At 37.6% G+C, this 25,713-nt stretch overlaps 1 protein-coding gene across 15 annotated transcripts in view; it reads right to left on the reverse strand.

The window, feature by feature from the left end:
* Window positions 1-25,713, reverse strand: part of RGS22 (regulator of G protein signaling 22) — a 145,114-nt gene that overhangs the window by 63,820 nt on the left and 55,581 nt on the right. For 13 of the 15 annotated variants that reach the window (NM_001286692.2, XM_017013310.3, XM_017013309.3 and 10 more), the window contains 4 exons: window positions 22,708-22,841; window positions 17,047-17,161; window positions 15,207-15,332; window positions 14,176-14,277 (listed from right to left, as the gene is read on the reverse strand). In NM_001286692.2, coding sequence (NP_001273621.1) covers window positions 14,176-14,277; window positions 15,207-15,332; window positions 17,047-17,161; window positions 22,708-22,841 — 477 coding nt within the window. Of the gene's footprint in view, window positions 1-14,175; window positions 14,278-15,206; window positions 15,333-17,046; window positions 17,162-17,955; window positions 18,044-22,707; window positions 22,842-25,713 lie in introns of those variants that run through there. The other 2 variants (XM_024447121.2, XM_047421682.1) reach the window with 2 other exon arrangements.

Below are 25,713 nucleotides of genomic sequence, written 5' to 3' on the forward strand. Positions count from 1 at the left end.
ACCAATTGCTAAATGGATGGCGTTAGGAAAGCATTCAACTTCCCTAAGTCTCAGTTTCCAAATCTGTAAAATAAGGATACCAATCTACCTCTTAGGATTGTCTAGAATTAAATAAAATTATCCATATAAAGTTATTACCACAGAACCTAACAGAAACATTAACGAAACGTCAGGTATAATAGATAATGGTGTTTCAGAGAAGTTCAGGTGTTGGCCTTTCTGGAAACAAGAGGATTAAAAGAGGATCTATAAATAAATAAATAAATAAATAAATAAATAAATGAGGATCTTTGGAGATCCTTTTTTGGTCTATAATCCTACAGTATTCAAAAATCTTAAGACTCTATGCATAACTGGGGTAAACATCAGGAAGTGGGGAAATGAGTGGGTAGCTACAAGCCAGAAAGCTGGCTGCTGTGCTTGTTCTTCCTGAACCCACTTTACTAGCAAACATGACAAAATGCGATGCAACACGAGAACCCTGCTGATTCTGTGCTCAGTGATTCACAGTGTTCAGGAATCCAAGCCTGGCCGCTAATTGGGACACCATCTCTCTGGTAACAAAAACAAATAATGTAACAAAGCCTGAATAGTAATTGCCCAGCACTCCAGAAACAACCTAATTGTGAAGACACCAAAATTTACCATAAAGCTATAAAGAGGTACCTGATTTTCCACATTCAATCACCAGCCAACCTCACCCCTCACCCATGTCCATTCATCTTTTAGAAAACAGAGCTTGATTCTTAATGCTGCTGCTGAATAGAGAAATAATGAGCTCTGTTAGTGCACCTGAAAATACACCATCAGCCTAGAGAAGGAGAACTTAGCTCGTGACACTTTAATGAAAATGTCAGGACCACCCTGAAGTATTTAGGTCCTGTAAATGCCAAGTAAAGAGAGGAGCTAAACAATTAAGGTAATGGATGACAGTGAGCAAAGGAAAAATAAAGCTGATTATCAGAGAAAAATCTTCAACACTGCCCCACTTATGCCATAAAGTTTTTTCAATGGAATTTGTGATTACACCCAAGGTCCTGGGTGTTACCTCAGACTTCATTGGAAAACACTGTAAGAACAATCCAAATTTTACGGGGGAGGAGCTACATAGTCTTAACTGGTTTTTTCTCTCTCAATCTTTCTAGGGTTCTCTGGAAAAGTAGGCAAAAGAAAGCACATTCTTGACCCTTGATAGAAAGAATGCTTGGGGAGCTGCACCTGTGCTTTGTTCACCAAGGTGTTCCCAGCACCAATCACAGCCTAAGGTATAGTAGGTGTTTGGTAAATGTTTGTGGAAATAGCAATAACATGTTTAGGCTAGGAAAAATGTGTGCTCCTAATTGCTAGTCTAACTGCTATTCAGTTTATATTGATTTACTGGTTTGTACACTATAAAAGCAGGAGCAAAGGGGACAAATACATAGACATACTCAGAGAACCTTAAGGCAGGGCTACAATGCACAACCCAGTATGAACATCATTTGGATCTACACTGTGTCTCAGATCACCTAATAGGAGACTGAAATGACCTAGGGCCAGAGAGGATAACGATAGCAATAAATAATTACTGAATAATTTAATGAATTCTGCATTACAATTACATCACAACTTATGGGCTTCCTAAAAACACCAGTGCACAACATGGATCTGGTGACATTTACTGACTCAGCTTTTGCGTTTTCTTTTTCTCTTGTGAAATTTTGCAAATACAAGAGTAAACAGGCAACAGTACTATAAACCCTGGGTAAATAGTAGAAGTCACCAGGACTGACTTATTTGTCATGGGACCCATGAAGTGACTTCTTCATAGAAATAGAAGGAGAAACAACAGGAGTCTCTCACTGGAGCATTACAGCAGAGTATTTTCAAGCTGTCATATCATTGGGTGGAGATGTCAGGAACAGGACTTGCAAATGTTAAAATTTCATTTGGCTATAGCTGAAGATACTAGAAAGATGTAAAATTGATTCTGAAGTTGTTAATCTGAATAAAACAGGACAGTGTCCTAAGAAGCATAAGACTAAAGGACAGCAGCTTTTGGCTCAAAAATGAGAAAAAAGGAAACAGTTCCCTCATTCCTACAGGTATTTGAAAAGAAGCCGATGACTTAAAAGTAAAACAAAACAATAACCAACTGTTTTCTGCCAGTAAAGCGAGAAATTATTTCATTATCAGTTAAGACACTATTACCTGGTCGGGCATGGTGGCTCATGCCTGTAATCCCAACACTTTGGGAGGCTGAGGTGGGAGGATTGCTTGAGTACAAGAGTTCAAGACAAGCCTGGGCAACATGTGAGACCCTGTCTCTACAAAACATTAGCTGGGGCTGGTGGTGTGTCTGTAGTTTCAGCTACTAGGGGAATCATAGGGGGCACCGAGGTGGTAGGATCACTTTGAGCCCAGGAGGTTGAGGATGCAGTGAGCCGTGATCGTGAGCCACTGCTCTCCAGCTTGGGTGACAGAGCAAGATGACCTTGTCTCAAAAAAAAAAGAGAGAGACATTATTATCTGTTTTAAATACGACTGAAGTGCTTTGTAATTATCTCCTTCCCCCACTAGAGAGTGAGACTTCTAAGTCAAGAACTTTGTCCTAATCATCTTTCTATCCACAGAACATTACTTGGCACATAGCAGGCTTCTCAGTGAATGTTCATTAATAAGTAACTGAATATTATAAAGGAGATTCTTAAAAGGTTGTGATTCAATGTAGTATATTTTATTTCATTTTATTTATTTATTTATTTTGAGATGGAGTCTCACTCTGTTGCCCAGGCTGGAGTGCATTGGCATGATCTCAGCTCACTGCAACCTCCATCTCCTGGGTTCAAGTGATTCTCCTGTCTCAGCCTTCTGAGTAACTGGGAATACAGGCATGTACCACCACATCCGGCTAATTTTTGTATTTTTAGTAGAGATGGGGTTTCGCCATGTTAGCCAGGCTGGTCTCGAACTCCTGAGCTCAGTTGATCCACCTACCTCAGCCTCCCAAAGTGCTGGGATTATAGGCATGAGCCATCACGCCTGGCCTAATGTAGTATATTTTAATTTAAGTTATATTGTAGAACTGTTCCTCCACCCTAGTTTCTTCAAATTCCCATTTTCCTTCCTCATTATCCAGGTAATTGATAGAACCTTAAATATTGACCCTAATAATACTGTTTATTCCATTGAGTGCTCTGTACTATATGACAAAATGCTTCCACCTGTATATGATCTTGTAAAATACATATTAAAAATAAATTTTTATAAACATATATATAGTCTTTTTTCACTCTGCATTTCACCTTGTGTATAACCCTTCATAGACCTTGGTAGATGTGGGGGGTCTTAGTGTCACTTTTCGCCTCTAAGAGCCCAGGGCCTTGTCTGTGCCTTGTGGGTCTTATAACCCACACTTCTTGGTTTATCCATGACAGTCCCATTGTCAGCTCATGCTTATCACTCTGGTTCTCAGTACATTTCTTAACCATGGTCCCTGGTGATGTCCCTTACCATCTCGGCCATGCACTTAAAAGTACATTTGTTATATTTTATCCAGCATTTCTAGGTATTTTTTAGATGAAGAGTTTTCAGGTAATCTAGGCTGCCAAGATACCAGAAAAGGAAATCTCTGCAAGAAGCAGTCACATGTTCCCTTATTTAATACCCATAGTAAGCACCAGAAAAGCAAGCTTCTTTATACCTACCAAACCTAGGAGACAAAAAAAAAAAAAAAAGGAAAAAAAAAGCCTTGCTTCTATTGGCCTAGCCTCTTTGTAAAAGAAAGAAAACAACATATCTCCTGAGAATTTGGTATCGTGAGTTTACCATTATGTGGGCTTCATGTTCAAGTTTATACTTGTCTAATTTCTCATCTTGGAAATGATTACAAAATGTGCCTACCAGAAACAGCATAGATAAAAAACCCCACTAAAAAGCTCATAATTCAAAATTACAAAACATGCCAGAAAAGAATCCACCATGTCAGCAGAACTAATACATAGCAGAATTAGTTCTTCCAAGAACTACAAATTACAGAATTATTGAATACTATAGCAGCCAGGCCCCCACGAAAACAGTATCTCCTAGTATTCATACCCTTTCATAATCCTCTCCCACCAAGTATGGGCATAACATGTGGCTGCTTCTAATCAAGAGAATATAGCAACGGTGATGATTTGTACGTGATTACATGTATGTGGTTACATTACATAAGATAGCAATGCCTGTCTTGCTAAGAAATTCTCCCCTTTTCTGGCTTAGAGAAGCAAACTGCCACACTGTGGGCTGCCATATGGAGACAGCCATATGACACAGAACTGAGGGTGGCCTTTAGCTGACTGCCAACAAAAATCTGAGGCCATCAGTCTAACAATGTGTTACCCTGATGTCCAATCCAATTCTGATGCTAGAAAATGAATATTGCTAACAACCATGTGAACACTGAAGCTGATCCTTCCCCAGTCGAGCCCCAGATGAGACACTAGCCCTGGCTGAGACCTTACAGAGAACCCAATAAAGCTGTGCCCAGAATCCTGACCTACATAAACTATGAGATAATGATGTGTGTTGCTTTAAGTCACAAATTTTGTGATAATACTGTTATGACAGAAGAGATAACTAATGCAGCTACAAACTATAACACGTTTAAAATGATTAGAGACATCAAAAAAGAAACTGTAGCAGGCCAAGCATGGTGGCTCATGCCTGTAATCCCAGCACTTTGGGAGGCTGAGGCACACAGATCATCTGAGGTCAGGAGTTCAAGACCAGCCTGACCAGCATGGTGAAACCCCGTCTCTACTAAAAATACAAAACATTAGCCAGGCGTGGTGGTGCACACCTGTAATCCCAGCTACTTGGGAGGCTGAAGCAGGAGAATCATTTGAACTGGGGAGGCAGAGATTGCAGTGAGCCAAGATCATGCCATTGGACTCCAGCCTGGGCAACAAGGCGAAACTCCGTCTCAAAAAAAAAAAAAAAAAAAAAGAAAAAAAGAAACCATGGCATGTGTATACCTATGTAAAAAACCTGCATGCTCTGCACATGTATCCCAGGACTTAAAGTAAAATAAAAATGTTTTTAAAAGAAATTTTAAAATGAGGAAAAAGACCAAAAATCCCCAGGAAATTTTGTAAAACACAAATATAATGTTTAATAATACAAAAACATAATCTTAAAATGATTTAACTCAATGGGTAAGTTAAATAGCAGAATGAAATCTGAAGAATATATGAACTGAAAAACAGTACAAAGAAAATTGATCTATTTCAATCTAAAACATACAACACAGATATTCAAAGGTGGAAAAACCTGAAAGAGGGGTTAAGAGTGACATGAAATATACAGTCATGTGCTGCATAAAATTGTTTCAATCAATGGTGGACCACATATACAATGGTGGTCTCATAATATAATGGAGCTGGAAAATTCCTATTGCCTAGTAACACTGTAGCACATGTATTACTCACATGTCTGTGGTGATGCTGGTGTAAACAAACCTATTGCACTGCCAGTTGTATAAAGGTATAGCACACACAATTATGTATAGTACAAAATACTTGATAGTGATAATAAATGATCATATTACTGGTTTATGTATTTGCTACACTATATTTTTTATCATTTTTTTAGAATGTACTCCTTCTACTTATTAAAAAAGTTAACTGTAAAACAGGCTCAGGCAGGTGCTTCAGGAGGAATCCCAGAAGAAGGCATTGTTATCACAGGAGATGACAGCTCCATGCATGTTACTGCCCCTGAAAACCTTCCAGTGGTAAACACACTGAGGTGAAATACAGAATGCCAAAGTCAAAGAAAAGACTGCAAAAGTAAACATGAGAAAAAACATCCTCCTACAAAGGAGCAATGGCATACTCCTCAATAATAGCAATGGAAGGCAGAAAACAATAAAACAGTATTTTCAAAGTAGTGAGAAGAAACTGTCAACCTAGAATTCTATATTCAGCTAAATCAACAATAAGAGAATAAAATAGACATTTTCAAACAAATAGGGTCTACTACCACTAGCAGGCTCTAATGGAAAAACTACTAAAGGATAGTCTTCAGGAATTAAACTGAAAGTAAGGAATATGACACAAAAAGCAATAGCAAGCAAGAAATTTGTGAATAAACTGACATAAACATTGACAGTATTAAAAAAGTAATGATGACTACTAGGAGGGTAAAAGCCGAAATTAACAAAAATAGTGTACAAAAATTATATGTAAAATGGGCAAGGTATGGTAGAATTAAAGTGTTCTAAGATCCTTGATTTATTTGAGAGAAGGATGAAGATAATGATTAATTTTAGACTTCACAGATTTCCGTATACATGTCAAAACTGTAAGGGTAAAAAGAGAAATATAATATGTAACTTCCAAACCAGTAGAGGAAAACAAAATGTAAAACATTATCACTATCCATATTTTACAGAACATGAAACCAAGACCTATTAAAACTAACTGACTTAACAAAGTTTACCCAGCTAGTAACTAGGAGAATGTAAATAATTCATGTCTTCAATGCCACATTCTGTGATTTTTTTTTGCCTTCTACGTCATATAGCCTCTGATCTAGGTGATATATTAAAATAACAGTGTGTTACCCTGACGTCCAATCCAATAAGACAAAAATCTCACACTGCTGCAAGAATTTCTTTATATTAAATAGCACTTTGTGGTAAAAGTGCTGTGGATTTACCTAGGAATTCTCTTATTTCTCATTTCCATTTCATTCTTACCTACCCTCTTCATTCATTAATTACTACATTTTCCATATAATTCTCCTAGACTCTAAGTTTTTTCCTCCTTCCCATTTCTTACTTTTAAAATTTGGTGCGTGTGTGTGTGTGTACTTAAACATGTTTAATATTTTTGTTTCATACGTTTACTTATTTTTATTTAAATATCATTATGTATGCTATGGAGAGTGATAGATTCTAAATGCACAATTTTTGTTAGGATATAACTTATCTGAAAGATTTCACAAGTTACAAAAGACAGTAGTCCTCAGGTCTGTTTCATTCTCTAGTAGTGCTCTCTCACTGAAGCAAGTATGTAATGTCAAAAAAACTGTAGAACTCTCGGCAGAAACGCTATAAGCCAGAAGACAGTGGGGGCCAATATTCAACGTTCTTAAGGAAAAGAATTTTCAACCCAGAATTTCATATCCAGCCAAACTAAGCTTCATAAGTGAAGGAGAAATAAAATCCTTTACAGACAAGCAAATGCTGAGAGATTTTGTCACCACCAGGCCTGCCTTACAAGAACTCCTGAAGGAAGCACTAAACATGGAAAGGAACAACCAGTACCAGCCACTGCAAAAACATACCAAATTGCAAAGACCATCGATGCTAGGAAGAAACTGTATCAATTAATGGGCAAAATAACCAGCAAACATCATAATCACAGGATCAAATTCACATATAACAATATTAACCTTAAATGTAAATGGGCTAAATGCCCCAATTAAAAGACACAGACTGGCAAATTGGATAGAGTCAAGACCCATCAGTGTGCTGTATTCAGGAGACCCATCTCACGTGCAGAGACACATATCAGGCTCAAAATAAAGGGATGGAGGAAGATCTACCAAGCAAATGGAAAACAAAAAAAAGGAGGGGTTGCAATCCTAGTCTCTGATAAAACAGACTTTAAACCAACAAAGATCAAAAGAGACAAAGAAGGCCATTACATAATGGTAAAGGGATCAATTCAACAAGAAGAGCTAACTATCCTAAATATATATGCACCCAATACAGGAGCACCCAGATTCATAAAGCAAGTCCTTAGAGACCTACAAAGAGACTTAGACTCCCACACAATAATAATGGGAGACTTTAACACCCCACTGTCAATATTAGACAGATCAATGAGACAGAAGGTTAACAAAGATATTCAGGGCTTGAACTCAGCTCTGCACTAAGTGGACCTAATAGACATCTACAGAACTCTCCACCCCAAATCAACAGAATATACATTCTTCTCAGCACCACATAGCACTTATTCTAAAATTGACCACATAATTGGAAGTAAAACACTCCTCAGCAAATGTAAAAGACCAGAAATCACAACAAACTATCTCTCAGACCACAGTGCAATCAAATTAGAACTCAGGATTAAGAAACTCACTCAAAACCACACAACTACATGGAAACGGAACAACCTGCTCCTGAATGACTACTGAGTAAATAACGAAATGAAGGCAGAAATAAAGATGTTCTTTGAAACCAATGAGAACAGAGACACAATGTACCAGAATCTCTGGGACACATTTAAAGCAGTGTATAGAGGGAAATTTATAGCACTAAATGCCCACAAGAGAAAGCAGGAAAGACCTAAAATTGACACCCTAACATCACAATTAAAAGAACTAGAGAAGCAAGAGCAAACAAATCCAAAAGCTAGCAGAAGACAAGAAATACTTAAGATCAGAGCAGAACTGAAGGAGACAGAGACACAAAAAACCCTTCAAAAAAATCAATGAATCCAGGAGCTGGTTTTTTGAAAAGATCAACAAAATTGATAGACCAAAGCAAGACTAATAAAGAAGAAAAGAGAGAAGAATCAAACAGATGCAATTAAAAATGATAAAGGAGATATCACCACTGATCCCACAGAAATACAAACTACCATCAGAGAATACTATAAACGCCTCTATGCAAATAAACTAGAAAATCTAGAAGAAATGGATAAATTCCTTGACACATACACCCTCCCAAGACTAAACCAGGAAGAAGTTGAGTCTCTGAATAGACCAATAACAGGCTCTGAAATTGAGGCAGTAATTAATAGCCTACCAACCAAAAAAAAAAAAAAGTCCAGGACCAGATGGATTCACAGCTGAATTCTACCAGAGGTACAAAGAGGACCTGGTACCATTTCTTTTGAAACTGTTCCAAACAATAGAAACAGAGGGAATCCTCCCAAAAAAAGAATTTTAGACCAACATCTCTGACATCAATGCGAAAATCCTCAATAAAATAATGGCAAACCAAATCCAGCAGCACATCAAAAAGCTTATCCACCATGATCAAGTTGGCTTTTCATCCATGGCATGCAAGACTGGTTCAACACACACAAATCAATAAATGTAATCCATCACATAAACAGAAACAATCACAAAAACCAGATGATTATCTCAATAGATGCAGGAAAGGTCTTGGACAAAATTCAACAGCCATTCATGCTAAAAACTCTCAATAAACTAGGTATTGATGGAATGTATCTCAAAACAATAAGAGCTATTTATGACAAACCCACAGCCAATATTATACTGTATGGGCAAAAACTGGAAGCATTCCCTTTGAAAACCAGCACAAGACAAGGATGCCCTCTCTCACCACTCCTATTCAACATAGTGTTGGAAGTTCTGGCCAGGGCAATCGGGCAAGAGAAAGAAATAAAGGGTATTCAAGTAGGAAAAGAGGAAGTGAAATTGTCCCTGTTCGCAGATGACATGATTGTATATTTAGAAAACCCCATCATCTCAGCCCAAAATCTCCTTAAGCTGATAAGCAACTTCAGCAAAGTCTCAGGATACAAAATCAATGTGCAAAAATCACAAGCATTCCTATACACCAACAACAGACAAACAGAGAGCCAAATCATGAGTGAATTCCCATTCACAATTGCTACACAGAGAATAAAATGCCTAGGAATCCAACTTACAAGGGATGTGAAGGACCTCTTCAAGGAGAACTATAAATCACTGCTCAACGAAATAAAAGAGGACACAAACAAATGGAAAAACATTCCATGCTCATGGATAGGAAGAATCAATATTGTGAAAATGGCCATACTGTCCAAGGTAATTTATAGATTCAATGCCATCCCCATCAAGCTACCAATGACTTTCTTCACAGAATTGGAAAAAATTACTTTAAAGTGCATATGGAACCAAAAAAGAGCCTGCATTTCCAAGACAATCCTAAGCAAAAAGAACAAAGCTGGAGGCATCACGCTATCCGACTTCAAACTATACTCCAAGTCTACAGTAGTATGGTACTGGTACCAAAACAGATATATAGACCAATGGAACAGAACAGAGGCCTCAGAAATAACACCACATATCTAGAACCATCTGATCTTTGACAAACCTGACAAAAACAAGAAATGGGGAAAGGATTCCCTATTTAATAAATGGTGCTGGGAAAACTGGCTAGCCATATGTAAAAAGCTGAAACTGGATCCCCTCCTTATACCTTACACAAAAATTAATTCAAGATGGATTAAAGACTTAAATGTTAGACCTAAAACCAGAAAAACCCTAGAAGAAAACATACGCAATACCATTCAGGACATAGGCATGGGCAAGGACTTCATGTCTAAAACACCAAAAGCAATGGCAACAAAAGCCAAAATTGACAAATGGGATCTAATTAAACTGAAGAGTTTCTGCATGGCAAAAGAAACTACCATCAGAGTGAACAGGCAACCTACAAAATGGGAGAAAAATTTTGCAATCTACCCATCTGACAAAGGGCTAATATCCAGAATCTACGAAGAGCTCAAACAAATTTACAAGAAAAAAACAAACAACCCCATCAAAAAGTGGGTAAAGAATATGAACAGACACTTCTCAAAAGAAGACATCTATGCAGCCAAAAGACACATGAAAACATGCTCATCATCACTGACCATCAGAGAAATGCAAATCAAAACCACAATGAGATACCATCTCACGCCAGTTAGAATGGCGTTCATTAAAAAGCCAGGGGAAACAACAGATGCTGGAGAGGATGTGGAGAAATAGAAATGCTTTTACACTGTTGGTGGGAGTATAAATTAGTTCAACCTTGTGGGGGACAGTGTGGCAATTCCTCCAAGATCTAGAACTAGACATACCATTGACCCAGCGATCCCATTACTGGGTATAAACCCAATGGATTTTAAATCATGCTACTATAAAGACACATGCACATGTATGTTTACTGTGGCACTATTCACAATAGCAAAAACTTGGGACTAACCCAAATGTCCATCAATGATAGACTGGATTAAGAAAATGTGGCACATATACACCATGGAATACTATGCAGCCATAAAAAAGGATGAGTTCATGTCCTTTGCAGGGACATGAATGAAGCTGGAAACCATCATTCTCAGCAAACTATCACAAGGACAGAAAACCAAACACTGCATGTTCTCACTCATAGGTGGGAATTGAACAGTGAGAACTCTTGGACACAGGGCAGAGAACATCACACACTGGGGCCTGTTGTGGAGTGGGGGGCTGGGGGTGGATAGCATTAGGAGAAATACCTAATGTAAATGACAAGTTGATGGGTGCAGCAAACCAACATGGCATATGTAGACCTATGTAACAAACCTGCACGTTGTGCACATGTACCCTAGAACTTAAAACATAATAACAATTTTAAAAAAGAAAAAAAATTGAAATAAAAGAAAAATCTCCAAATTAAAAAAAAAAAACTGTAGAACGATCTACAGTAACAATCTGGTCTCCAAATCTTAGTAGTGGTATATGGTTCCTTGGCAAGCTGTCGCTAGGGTCAAAGATGTCTCTACACTATGGTGATAATTCCCTTTCTCCTTGCCAACACCATTTAAATTGGTTTCCAACTGTGTACTATTCTATCTTGAAGCCATGTGGTGAAATCTTCAGGGTGTACCCAAGACAGTACTTCAAACTCTTGGACTCTTTAGTCATGCTAATCACTGTTACTGATATACCCTTCCCCATCTAGTCTGAATAAAGATATTTCTGCAATAGTTCATGGGGCAATAAAACTTCAGCGTTTATGTACAGAAAATCATGTAAGTCTCTTGAAATCAAATCTCAGTCTCCTAGCACACGAATTGGCAGAAACTTGAAAACAATATAAAATCAAGTTCATAGAAACTTTATTTATTTATTTTGAGTCAGGGTCTTGTTCTGCCACCCAGACTGGAGAGTGGTGGCGCAATCATAGCTTACTGCAGCCTTGAACTCCTGGGCTCAAGCGATCCTCCCACCTCAGCCTCTTCAGTACCTACGACTACAGGTGCACATCACTATGCCTGGCTAATTTTTAAATTTTTTATAAAGATGCGGTCTCACTTTGTTGTCCAAGCTGGCCTTGAACTCCTGGGCTCAAGCAATCCTCTTGCCTCAGCCTGCCAAAGTACTGGGATTACAGGCATGAGCTAACACGCCTGGCCCATAGCAATTTTTACATAGTCCAGCTTATTGTATTGTGCCATTGGCATTATCAATCCAACGATCTAAATTGAAAATTTACCCCTGAAGAGAGTCATATATCTATTATAAAGAAACGAACAGCATTTCATACCATAAAATGAATCTCTAGGATTATAGTATTACAGGCAGTTCTTGTATCTTAAGTCACAGAAACCTGGGATAATTAGAACCTAAACTAATTTAGACAATTGCTCCTGTAACCAAAAAAATAAAGTTGGGCATGGTGGTGCATGCCTGTAATCCCAGCACTTAGGCTGAGGCAGCAGGATCACTTGAGCCCAGGAGTTCAAGGCTGCAGTGAGCTATGATCCCTCCACTGCACTCCAGCCTGCGTGACAGGGCAAGATCCTGCCTCTAAAAAAGTAAATAAATAAAAAAGTAAGACAAAGTAAAATAACTATAGATGCAAAGAGCAAGTATGTCAAAAAACAACAAACACATAGATCTGCTTTTTTATTTATCTTTCTTCATTCCTAAAAGCAAATGTCTCCATTGTTTTCCTCTCACCCTGCTTTAACTATCCAAAAGAGAACCTAGGAGAAGATAAAAACCTTACAGACCTCGAAAATCCCAAAACAGAATAGTCCACCTTCAAGTAACCAAAACTGTGTGGTTTTACAATCATTTATTACTAATAATTAACAAGTCAACCAAGCTCAAATAGAATTTCCTCTTTTACAAGGTCATGGAAATATGAAAATTATTAAGAAAAAAACTCAATTGGGCAGCTGAAGATTTTTGGAGGAATACTCTTTGTAGTAGTGAAAACATAATAAAAATAATGCATGGTACTTGAACAGACAGGGGCAATAGTTTAGGAGGATTAGGGCAAAAGGTTATAGAGAATTACAGGTAAAGGATTAACAAACAGAATAGTCAACTGGGTGGTCTCAGAAATGGTGCTAGTAAATTAGAGATATAATTTCATGATTTCATGGAGACAGATATGGGCTATGTAGGGGCTGAAGCCCTTAATCTCACAGTAAAAAGTACAAAGCTCTGTCAGCTGATTTACAAAGCATAGTTATTAATGCCAGAGTCAGGGTGGGGGAAGTAACAGTGAACATCCAGCGGTACACTATGATACATCAAATAAGATTATAAGATAATAAATAAAATGATGAAGCTAGTTTCCTTAGCATTGTTCAGGGGGAGGTCCTCTGGAATGCAGTTATTCTGGATTGTAAGAATCACTTAAGTGGTGAACAGATATAGAAGTGATTAGCACTTTTCTAGGCTTGGAGACCTGTCTCCATAAAAGATCAGAAGAGCCTGACAATAAAAAACTGCAAAAATAAGTCAGCTTGAGTCACAATTCTGCTCCCTTTTCTTCTTCCCCACAAAAGAGGCTATTCTGTCTCCTTTTACAGAGAATCCTCTGTTCTTCCCCCTCTATTTTTTTTTTTCTTTCCTCCTCTATTTGGCTTCAGGGTGGTCTTGAAACATTCTTTCCTCCACTCCCTGAGTGTCTGTCTCCTATGACATGTAGAACAGAAGCCTAAACAACTACATGGGGCCTGCACTGCATAGTCAGTCAACATCTTTTCCTGCTTATACCAAGTCAACAGCCTAGTATGTCCAACAGCTGATATCTGCAGGAAGCTCAGAGAGCAACATTGGTCAATGTCTCTGTTCCCCATCACTTCAATGATTCATTACATGTCCATTCTCGGGGTCTTCTTTTAAATCACTCAAAACCAAACCAAAAAGGTATACATTAGAAAAAAAAGAGAGAGAGATGTTCTTTATCAGAAGAACAAGTAGTTGGCAAGAGAAAATAAAGCAAACCAAATAAAAGACATAAAACTGAAAACTCACAAATCATATTATAAAACAATATTTTGCTGATTTCAAATACAGTAATCCCATGGCAACAATTTAATTGCTGCCTTTTTGCCTGCGATCCCAGATTTCTCGTTTGGGACTGGACACAATTTTCATTTCTCTGTGTACTTAGTGCTTCACATTGAACCAATATTATTTACTACGTACTTGCGCTTGCTTGCATACTTTAAAAGGCTGAAGTGTTTCTTGGTAGAAAAGCTGATGATAAGCCTGCAGGTCAAACCAAAAGTACACACTGTTCTTCCACAACTACAGATGGAAAAAGTACATAAATTATTACCACCCAATTATTAAAACTCTTACAAAGCTCTAATTTCAAATATAAGTAACTGTTTAGCTCCTTGCTGTTACCATAAATCAGGTTCAATTTAAGATGGTTTTAATCTTCTATCACAAACTGGCAATACACAAAATATTTATTGATATTGTTGCTGGAAGATTATATTTTTGCATGTATGCCTCTCACATAATTAGTCATTAAAATGGTAAGTATTCTAGTTAACAGTTAAAGAGTAGCCATGTATTTTGATATATATGGGCAATGTGTATTACAGCAGAACCAAACATTACTCTAGTAATTGAACCAGTTAAATACTTTTTTTTTTTTTTTTTGAGACAGTGTCTCACTCTCTCACCCAGACTAGAGTGCAGTGGTGCAATCTCGGCTCACCGCAACCTCTGCCTCCAGGCTCAAGTGATTCTCCCACCTCAGCCTCCCGAGTAGCTGGGATTACAGGCATGCACCACCACGCCCAGCTAATTTTTGTATTTTAGTAGAGATGGGGTTTCACCATGTTGGCCGGGCTGGTCTCGAACTCTTGACCTCAAATGATCCACCCACCTTGGCCTCCCGAAGTGCTGGGATTACAGGCATGAGCCACCGCGCCTGGCCAATACTTTTCATTTGAGCAAAAGTAAGACTGATTTTTTTTTTTTAAATTTTGAAAAACCAACTGGAAATAATGTTGCCACTATTCAATGTAATTTGTAATTGTAGGATGAGCAAAAGAATTATAATTGAGATGCTTAAATATTTACTAAATATTAAATATGAATTTTCTTATCACAGATGGGAATTTTAACATCAAATATAATTATGTGAGCACTTAATTATTTTGATGTCTCATTTTTAAATGAAGTAAAATTATAAAATTAAATTTTAAATAATTCTTTTCTACCTTGTTCCCTGAATGCTCGCAGAATTTAGTAAAGAAGAATCCAGCTCTATTTTCTACATACAAAGATTGCAACAAATTTTCCATGTCAGATCCTCCCAAGGCACCAACATCTGACACGGTTTTAACCTAGATAACAAAACAGAAGTCTATTATCCACCCAAAAACATTGTAATTTTTTTATGGCATTACACAACAGGATTTCATAAACTCTACCATGCTGTCATTTTCCCACTGGACTATTTTATTTTTGTACCATATATGTAATTAATGCAGTATGTTTGCATTTGAGAGTCATATAAGATTCATTTGTGGAGCCCAACTATAGCCACAGAATATATTCTATTATAAACCAATCTGATTTTAAACATAATGTTGAAGCAACTTCCCAGCCTCAATTATTTTCATGTTTCAGGCAAAGTAAGACCATTTTAGGAGTATTCCAAATCCTTGTTGGTGGCCTCTTTCATGCATATTTAATGTTATTTTAGCCTTGAAGTGCTGCTATTATAGCTACAGAGGGTTATGATGAGAACTATCTCCAAGGCCTCTCGGTGCTGCTCATTAACTATCCTTAGGGGGTCCCTCTTGGACAGTCTCACCCTGTATAGGTCATGGCCTGCACAGTGTAAATGGCAGTGTAAGTTCTCATAAAATGTTGCTGTTTATAGGCTTCTCTGCCAACAGTGCTGGCAATCCTCATACAATTTTTGAAACACAGAAAGCTGGCTATTTCTCCAAGCACAGGAGTGACTTCAGAATATGAAAGGGCATCTACTATTCAGTTTAACTCTTTGCTATATGTTTTATAGAACTCATAGACTACTTCTTTATAATAAGACAATAATGGTATAAAAAATTTAGGGTTTAAGTAAGGTTCTCACTCTCTTTTTGTCCTACTGTCTCTCCATTTCTCCACCTCTCTATCTGCCTGCTAAACAAATTCTGAAGTGAGAATTTAATGTTTTTACTATGTTTAACTATCAGCATTACAAACTAAAAAAAAAATCATTATTTTAGTAGAAAAAAACAGTTAAAAGAAATGGAGTACTATTTGCATAGAATAAAATAAATAGTTATGCAAAATTATAGCTAAGTGTTCAGACTGTATTAGGACTGCCAAGGTTTCTACCTAAAGTATAATCCTTAGGGAATATGAAGTTTTCATTTAGAACTAGTGCATTAAATCCACATTATCAGGGTAGCTGTACCATGGAAACACCCTGCCCTTTAAAAATTCTAGGCTTTGGCTGGGTGCGGTGGCTCATGCCTGTAATCCCAGCACTTTGGAAGGGCGAGACAGGCGGATTGCCTGAGGTCAGGAGTGCGAGACCAGTCTGGGCAACATGGTGAAACCCCATCTCTACTAAAAATACAGAAAAGTTAGCCAGGCGTGGTGGTGTGCGCCTGTAGTCCCAGCTACTTGGGAGGCTGAGGCAGGGAATTGCTTGAACCAGGGAGGTGGAGGTTGCAGTGAGCCAAGACCATGCCACGGCACTCCAGCCTGGGCAACAGAGCAAGACTCTATCTCAAAAAAAAAAAAAAATTCTAGGCTTCTAAAATGTAACATCAAATACTATTTTTCTTTCAAGTGTCATCATACCAAAACCAGAACACCATTGTGTTTGAAAACAGTAATCAATGCAGTATATAGAACCATGGTACTACAAAAGAAAAACACAGAGGAAATATTTGTGTAAAAATCCTTTGGCAAGGAAAAAAATCAAATGTGTTGCTTAGTAAAGAAAAAATATTATGATAAATCAATACAAATTCTCTAAAATCAGGAGATACTGATCAGTTAAATGAAGAATCAGGTTTATTCAGTCCTCAAAACACTCACCCTAGGTTCTTCTGTATAAGCGTATCTTCTATCCAGCTGGGGCTTGAGACATTCAGAAATGTCAGTAAAAGATGTTAAATGAATGACTTTGCTGCTTTCTGACATGTACTTTGACCTAAATTATAAGGATGAGAACTAAAATTATAAGAATGAGAACTAACTGATCAACAAACAAATTTTGAGCACTTTTGGTATACATAGCACCGAATCTCAAGAGTACTTCTGAGCAATGTGACTCAGGAAAAAAAGGATAAACATCGTTCTAGCCCTAAAGTGGTGGTTCAGAAAATGAGTCATAGTTATACAGAAAGACAATTCTCAAAATAACTGCTGGTTAGATGAATTCAAGATGGTTTATTATAGATGCCAAATGACTGGGATGGATAATAAATATTTTGAGAGGGCAAGAATGAGAAATTCCTTCAACCTATATTAGTAATTTTAAAATAAAATATTTATTTGTGTTTTAATAAAATTAAAAAAATTTTAATGTGTTTTAGAGGGGCTCTTTAGATAGGAAAATAGTGAGCAATAAATGAAGGTAGGTATGGAAATCCTTGTTTAAAAGGCAGCAAACATAATTTGCTTAGGGCAGGAAGACACTAACATTAAAAAGTGAACATTATATACTACATACCAAACACTGTGCTAGATATAATTCATATTATAATATTTAATCCTCACAGAGGTGAGATTCATAGGGAATTATATAGATTAGTTTGGGGTGACATAATGGAAGACTTTGGAGTTAGACTAATGACTTTGGATATTATCTTTTTCTATTTTTTTATCCAGCTCCCTCTCCCACACCCACACTGCAATTATTCTAAAGCCTTATTTTCTTGCTCCATAAAACATGCCTATTCTACCTTGCCAATATTCCTCCATTCCAATCCACCAGCAGATTACCTTGCAGGTTCTTCTCACACAAAATGTATGTACAACATGCTTCAGTTTCCATTTCCTCATGTAGCCGAATGGCATGCTTCTATATACAGTACCACTGAGATCCTGAAAAAGCTAAACATTAACCTTCTAAGACTCCCTTGCAGCGAGACATAGCCATGAGACACAGTTGTGACTAATGAGATACAAAATGAAATGTGCTAGGGAGCTTCTGAGGAAGCTTGCTTTCCTGACAAGAGGGAGAGGGTTAATGGAAATTGCCCTTCCTCCTCCATTCTGACTTGAAAGCCTGATATTAGGAGCCGCAACACTGCTGACCATGAGGGAAAGGCCAAGAGCCTCACAAAGATTCAGGCCCTAATCTTTCTGATCTATTGTACCAACACTGGCAGTTGCCTATTATCGGATTTCTTGTTATGTAAGAAAAATTAGGTCAATTCATCTAAGCCATTGCTAGTTAGGTTTCTGGTATTTACAGCTGAAATCATTCTTGGTATGAACAACAAACATATCCACCTGTACCCATCCTTACTTCTTTCCATGTTGTCTCAGGAAGAAGCGCCCCACCTCCTGCCCGTGGTTAATCTAATTCCCTTGGCTCTTGAACCTGTCCCTCTATTCTCCTTTGAATATGAAGACCTTTGTTTTTTCTCATATATCTTCAGCTTCTCCATTTCCTCTGGATTCTATTCTAGGCATATCAACAGACTCAAGTCTTCACATTAAAAATACTCTTTCTGATGAGAACAAAAACCTTTAGCTAGACTAACCAAGAGAAACCTTTAGTGGCTGGGCACGGTGGCTCACGCCTATAATCCCAGCACTTGGGAGGCTGAGGTAGGTGGATCACGTGAGGTCAGGAGTTTGAGACCAGCCTGGTCCACATGGTGAAACCCCGTCTCTACTAAAAATACAAAAATGAGCTGGGCGTGGTGGCAGGCACCTGTAATCCCAGCTGCTTGGGCGGCTGAGGCAGGAGAATCGCTTGAACTCATGAGGTGGAGGCTGCAGTGAGCCAAGATTGCGCCACTGCACTCCAGGCCGGGCAGAGTGAGACTCTGTCTCAAAAAAAAACAAAAAACAAAACAAAACAAAAAAAACCACAAAAACAACAAAAATCTTTAGCTAGACTAACCAAGAAAAAGAGAAGACTCAAATTACTTAAATCAGGAATAAAAGAGGATACCTCAATACCAACCTTACAGAAATTAAAAGGATTATGAAGGAATACTTAGGAATGAAGAACTATATGCAAACAAATTAGGTAATTTGATGAAATGAACAAATTCCTAGAGAGACACAAATTACCAAAAATTACTCAAAAAGAAAGAAAACCTGAATAGATCTATAACAAGTAGAGATTAAATCAATAATTTGATATCTCCCCACACAAATAAAAGGCCTGGGCCCAAAAGGATTCACTGGTGAACTCTATCAAGTACTTAAAGAAGAACTAATATGCAGTTCTTCCCAAATTCTTACAAAATTAGAAGGGGAGGGGACACTTCCCAACTCATTCTGCTCATTCTGGTTTTTTTGTTTGTTCGTTTGTTTGTTTTTTGAGAGCCTCACTCTGTCGCCCAGGCTGGAGTGCAGTGGCACGATTTGGGCTCACTGCAACCTCTGCCTCCTGGGTTAAAGGTATTCTCCTGCATCAGCCTCCCGAGTAGCTGGGATTACAGGCGTGAGCCATCATGCCTGGCTAATTTTTGTATATTTAGTAGAGACGGGGTTTCACCATGTTGGCCAGGCTGGCCTGAAACTCCTAACCTCAAGTGATCCACCCACTTCGGCCTCCCAAAGTGCTGGAATTACAGGCATGAGCCACCATGCCCAGCCTAAAATTCTTCCTTCCTTTGGCTTCTGTGACACCACTCTTTCCTTATTTGTACATCTCCCATCTCTCAGATTACCCTTTCTTTTTTTTTTTTTTTTCGGATTATCTTTTCTTGGTCTTCTCTTCAAGTTCCTTATTCTCTGCCTTTACTGTAAACCTTGATAACTTAGTTCTCACTATATACTGCTCCTTCTCTCTCTCATGATCATCTCATCCATGCCCACAGCTTCAACTACCCACTGAAGTGTAATGCTTCCTCGATTTTCTACTTGTAATTGATCTCTCTCCTGGGCTCCAAACCTAGATTTCAACTGTTTTGAACATGTATATCCCAATATATATCCTAATGTAGTTTTACATTTTTTATTGAGATAAAATTCACATTGTCAACACACAAAAAATTCGGATGTAGAGAAACGGAAACCCAACATAGTTTCATCTCATCCCTGGAGTACTGGCTGGGCTTGGTGGCTCATGCCTGTAATCCCAGCACTTTGGGAGGTGGGAGGATTGCTTGAGGCCAGGAGTTCAAGACCAGCCTGGGCAACATTGAGAGAACCCATCTCTACAAAAAAAAAAATTAGTCAGGCATGGTGGCACACACCTGTAGTCCTAGTTACTTGGGAGGCTGAGGTGGGAGGATCACTTGAGCCCAGAAGTTCAAGGCTGCACGCCATAGCACTCCAGTCTGGGCAAGAGAGTGAGACACTCAAAAAAAACAAAAAAGAAAAAAAAAAGACTACCTTAGGCTCTATATTCCTTCATTCAACGAATATTAATTGAACACATACTATGTGCCAGATACTGTACTATACCCCGGAGCATTCACCTAGGAAGCACCCCAAATTAAAATCATCTGCCTCCTCCAGTCCTGCTTTTCCTCCTTCTGAGAATAACAAATACACAGAAAATAATGTAGAAATAGTTCTTAAACAGATTTTTTAAAAGTTCAACTTCAGTCAAAAGAAATACTGTTTTTAAAATATATGTTTAGAAAGGGTAATGCATACTATGTTGGTGAAGGAATGGTTAAAAAAAGGCACTCTTATACAAGCTGAAGGAAGTATAAGTTGTTATAACTCCTATGAAAGACAATTTGATATTATCTAGCAAAATTTAAAAAGCACATGAATTTTGACTCAAAAATTCTTTTAGGAATTTATAATATATATGATATATAATATATATATTCAACAATATTAATTGTTGAATTAATGTTGAATAATTCAACTTTTCTCTCAACTCATGCCTGTATGTCCTTTCACTTGTTTCATCACCTGAAAAATGAAGATAATGTTTTCTTTATGGGGATATATATATATATGAAATAGAGCAATGTATAAGAATATCCACTATAACATTGTTTGTAACAGAAAAAAATAGAAACAATGTCACGTCCATCAATAGAGTACAAATGCAAAGTATGGTATAAAATGAAAGAAGCAGACATAGGAGGAGGCAAGATGACAAGAATAAGAATCAAAATAGATTATGGTATATCTATTGCTATAGCACAATCACTGCTATGGAAAAAATCTAAGATATTTTAATAAAAATTTAAAATAAAAAAACAAGGCACAAAACAAGTGTATAGCATGCCACTATTTTTGAACTATGTTTATATTTCTAATTTTTAAGAATAAAACAATTTCAGTAAATGACACACAAAAAACTCTCCAGTTGTTCTTGAGTTCATAGAGAATAATCTCCAGATTCTTTAATATGACAGATAAGAAATAGCATTCTGAACCTCACTTTTCAGCTCATCTCCTGCTTTTTCACTGTAATACTCTAGCCGTAACAATGTATAGTTTTCAAAATTCAGCTTTTCTGTCAACTCATGACTATATGTCTTTTCACTTGTTTTATCACTTGAAAAATGATGATAATGCTTTCTTCATGGGGATCCAGTAAGAATTAGCAGATACATGTGCCTTCAGAACGGTGTTGCAATTTAAAAAAAAAAGAATTAATTTATACAATGCAAGCAAAGTGTCAATGCCACAAAAGCTCATTAACTGCTACTTTTGGAAATGGCAGAGAAGGTGATTTGGATCAATCTCAGGTAGAAGGCAACTAGATAAGCTGAAAAAACTTACAAAAATAAATCTGCTTAAAGGCATCTGCGTGTTAACAATGTAGTCAAGAATAACTCAGCCAAAACCCAGAGAATAAGAATTCACAGAGGTGACTTCGGCATTTGAGGCTGCTTTTTCCTGAGGCTTTGCTTACGAGAGTCAAAGACACTGGTAAACCCTTCATACCGTTTTTTGTTTTTTTGTTTTTTTTTAGATGGCGCCTCACTCTGTCGCCCAGGCTAGAGTGCAGTGAAATGACCTTGGCTCACTGCAACTCTGCCTCCCGGGTTCAAGTGATTCTTATCCCTCAGCCTTCCGAGTAGTTGATACTACAGGCACGTGCCACCACACTCGGCTAATTTTTTAAAACTTTTGTAGAGACATGATCTCAGTATATTACCTAGGCTGGTCTCAAGCTCCTAGGCTCAAGCAATCTGCCTGCCCTGGTCTCCAAAATGCTGCGATTACAGCTCTGAGCCACCGTGTCTGGTCAGTAACAATATTCTTGACAATATTCTTGAGAGTCTTATAAGTTCTCAAATTTGAGAAATATAGAATTATTGAATAGAGCCAAAAAAGAATTAGAGGGCAATCTTCTCAGAGAAGTCTTGAGAAGCTGGAGATCAGAGGCATCATCTCTTTAAAATTACTAATATCTGGAACTCTACTCCTAATTTAGAGTATTCATGCAAAGTATAAGCCTCTAATACATATCATTGAAAATTAAGAACCCATGTAAAAATATCAAAGTACTAGTTTTTAATTTCTGTTTAGTTTTTAAATTCTCTAAAACGCTTAGTATTGCAGAAAAGCACTTAACACACAAAAAGTTGCACCTACCCTTTCTCAATCACATCATCCTTAGAAGAACCTGGATACAAAAGCTCCCGCTTCCAAGGCTTTTGAGTTGCTGTTTTTACTTCAGGTGATTTATTGGGAGATTTAGGAGGTTGTGATAAGCTGAATTCTTCTTTCTAAAAGATGGTAACATAAGCAAGATGAAAATGAGAGAGAAAAAAGCACAGCTCTGCACCTATACCTCAAATTTGTTCTCATCACTCGAGTACTTTTTCTTTCCCTTTGCCTCCTACAATGCTTCCCAATAAAATAGAAATTTTTTCTTTCTCCAACTCCTACTTTTATGCAAGCTGCAAAGTGGAATCAAACAGCAATTTAGACTGTAAAAAAGGAAGAGCAAAAGGCTTATATCCTTACTTCCACCATTGTGAAAGAAGACTCTTTCCTGGAGAAAGAACATTGTAAAAACGATTCTTTATTCTATAACTGAATAGGTATTAGAGCTAGATGTATGTATGTGTGGCGAGGGCTGTGTGTGTACTGGGGGGGGGTGCGGGTGTCAGCGGTCACAGGGCAGGGAAATGAAACAAAGATACCCTTGGTCCACATAAGAAGGGCTCTATATCTTAACAGCACTATTTCCTTCCATTTTGGGACATTTATTTCATGGTTATTTTTCCCATTCTTAGAGTTATTTATGGTAAAAGTTAACAATTTAAATCCAGAATATGAGATGCATGGATTAAAAAAAGTATAAACAACTAAATGTCCAAATGGAGAATGGGATATACATAAATGTAACATTATATAATACTTAAAAGTAGTAGTTACAAAAATGATGACACACATGGAAAAATCCTTATGATAAAAGAGATAATCAGAAAACAAAAGTCTAAGTACAGTAAAACAAAAAATTCACAGAAGCAGCCTAAAATAAGTTAGTAGTTGTCTGGAAGTAGGTAAGATCAGAAGTGATTTGTCTCTTCTCCAGTTTCCAAATTTACAGTAGTTTTATTATTTTTATAATTTCAAAAACAAACATACAAAACTTTTCTAATACGTCAACTTCCATTAGAATACTATATACATTGCAAGAAAGCAAGGAATATACTTTTAATGTTTTATTATCCAGAACAAACAATAAAACCTTATATATACTCTATGTAATAACTACTAATAATTTTTTCAGAATTCTATAAAGAAAATTAATAACAAGTATATTCTATATATAACTTCCCATATATAAGGGCTTACATCTGTTTTAGTAATTCAGAACACAGCATGACATTAAACAACACTCTATAAATGAGAGTTACCACAAGAGGCTGAGCTTATTATTAAAAGTATATAATACAAAAGTAGCCAAATTTATAGAAACAGAAAGTAGGGTGGTAGTTACCAGGGGCTGTGGGGATGGGGAAAAGGAGAGTTGGTCTTTAATGGGCAGAGTCATATTTGCAAGATGAGAAAGTTCTAGAGATCTGTTTCACAACATTGTGAATATAACTAATACTATTGAACCCATACATATAAAAAGTGATTAAGATGACAAATTTTATGTGTTCTACCACAATAATTTTTTAAGTTTTCTTAAAATAAAAAAAATTAACATATCATGTAGACAAAGGCCTATATTAGACTTTTTGAGCTTGCTGGCTTAGGTGAAAGCTAGAAGTACCCAGAAAGTAACTGATGGGGATGGGTGGGGAAACAAAAACAAAACAAAAAAGCCTGAGGAAGGGTCACAGTGGATTGTAGCAGAGGGCGGTATAAAGGAACTGCTCTCCAGCATGAGTGTGATGGTGGATACACAATGTATACTTTTGTCCAAATTTACAGAACTATACACTAAAAAGGGTGAATTTTGCTGTATATAAGTTATACCTTAGTTTCTGTATGGAAAAATAAAATGGAATTGAGCTCTATTCCTTAGAGTATTTTCTGCCAAGGAGACAGAGAGTGAGACCAGAATGAGCTGTCCAACTAGATAACACCAATGACAGCATATGGTAATGATTTTCAGGAAGTCAAATGAAAACAACAGATGAGAAGTCAGGTTTATACCACTTTTTCACACAAGCTAATCTCTACCCACTCCTTTGGCATTGTTCTCTTATTCGAGTTCCTTTCATCAAGCACGTCACTTAATTTTTCTTCCCCCTTTCTTTTCAGCTTAATAACGTTGTTTGTACAAATGTTCATATGTTATCAGATGATGTGCTCCCTGTACTACAGCTCCAAGATGAGGAAACATTCGTGCACTAAAGTACATTAACTTAAAATGTGGTCCCCAAAGCAGCAGCAAGAGCATCACCAGGGAGAGAGCTTGTTAGAAATGCAAATGAGGTTAGGCGTGGTGGCTCAAGCCTGTAATCCCAGCACTTTGGGAGGCCAAGGCGGGCAGATCACCTGGGTCAGGAGTTCGAGACCAGCCTGGCCAACATGGTGAAATCCCATCTCTACTAAAAATACAAAAAAATTAGCCAGGCGTGGTGGTGGGTGCCTGTAGTACCAGCTACTTGGGAGACTGAGGCAGGAGAATTGCCTGAACCTGGGAGGCGGAGGTTGTGGTGAGCCGAGACCATGCCATTGCACTCCAGCCTGGGCAACAAAAACGAAACTCCATCTCCAAAAAAAAAAAAAAGGAAAAAAAGAAAAGCAAATGAATCCTTGGGTTCCATCCCAGAACTACTGGATTTTGATCTCTGGGTGAAGCCCAGGAATCTCTATTTTAACAAGCTCTTCAGCTGACTTTTCTGAATGCTATAAAGCTTGAGAACCACCAGTCTACAGCAGTGTTTCACATATGAATCACCTGAGAATCTTAATAAGTTGCAGGTTCTAAAATGTGGCTCTAATGTTCAGGAAGCGTTGAGAACTTCAGTTGTAAGCCAAACCCCTGATTTTACAGAGTGACCCTGACCCATTCCAGATCAATTAAATCAGAATCTCTGAAGGCGGGACCCCTGTATGTCTGAACAGTTCTGCAGGTGATTCTAATGTTTCCAGGGTTAAACTACAGACAGGGTTAAGGTCCCTCCAGCTCTA

Source organism: Homo sapiens, chromosome 8 (assembly GCF_000001405.40).
Source record: "Homo sapiens chromosome 8, GRCh38.p14 Primary Assembly".
Lineage (NCBI taxonomy): Eukaryota > Metazoa > Chordata > Mammalia > Primates > Hominidae > Homo > Homo sapiens.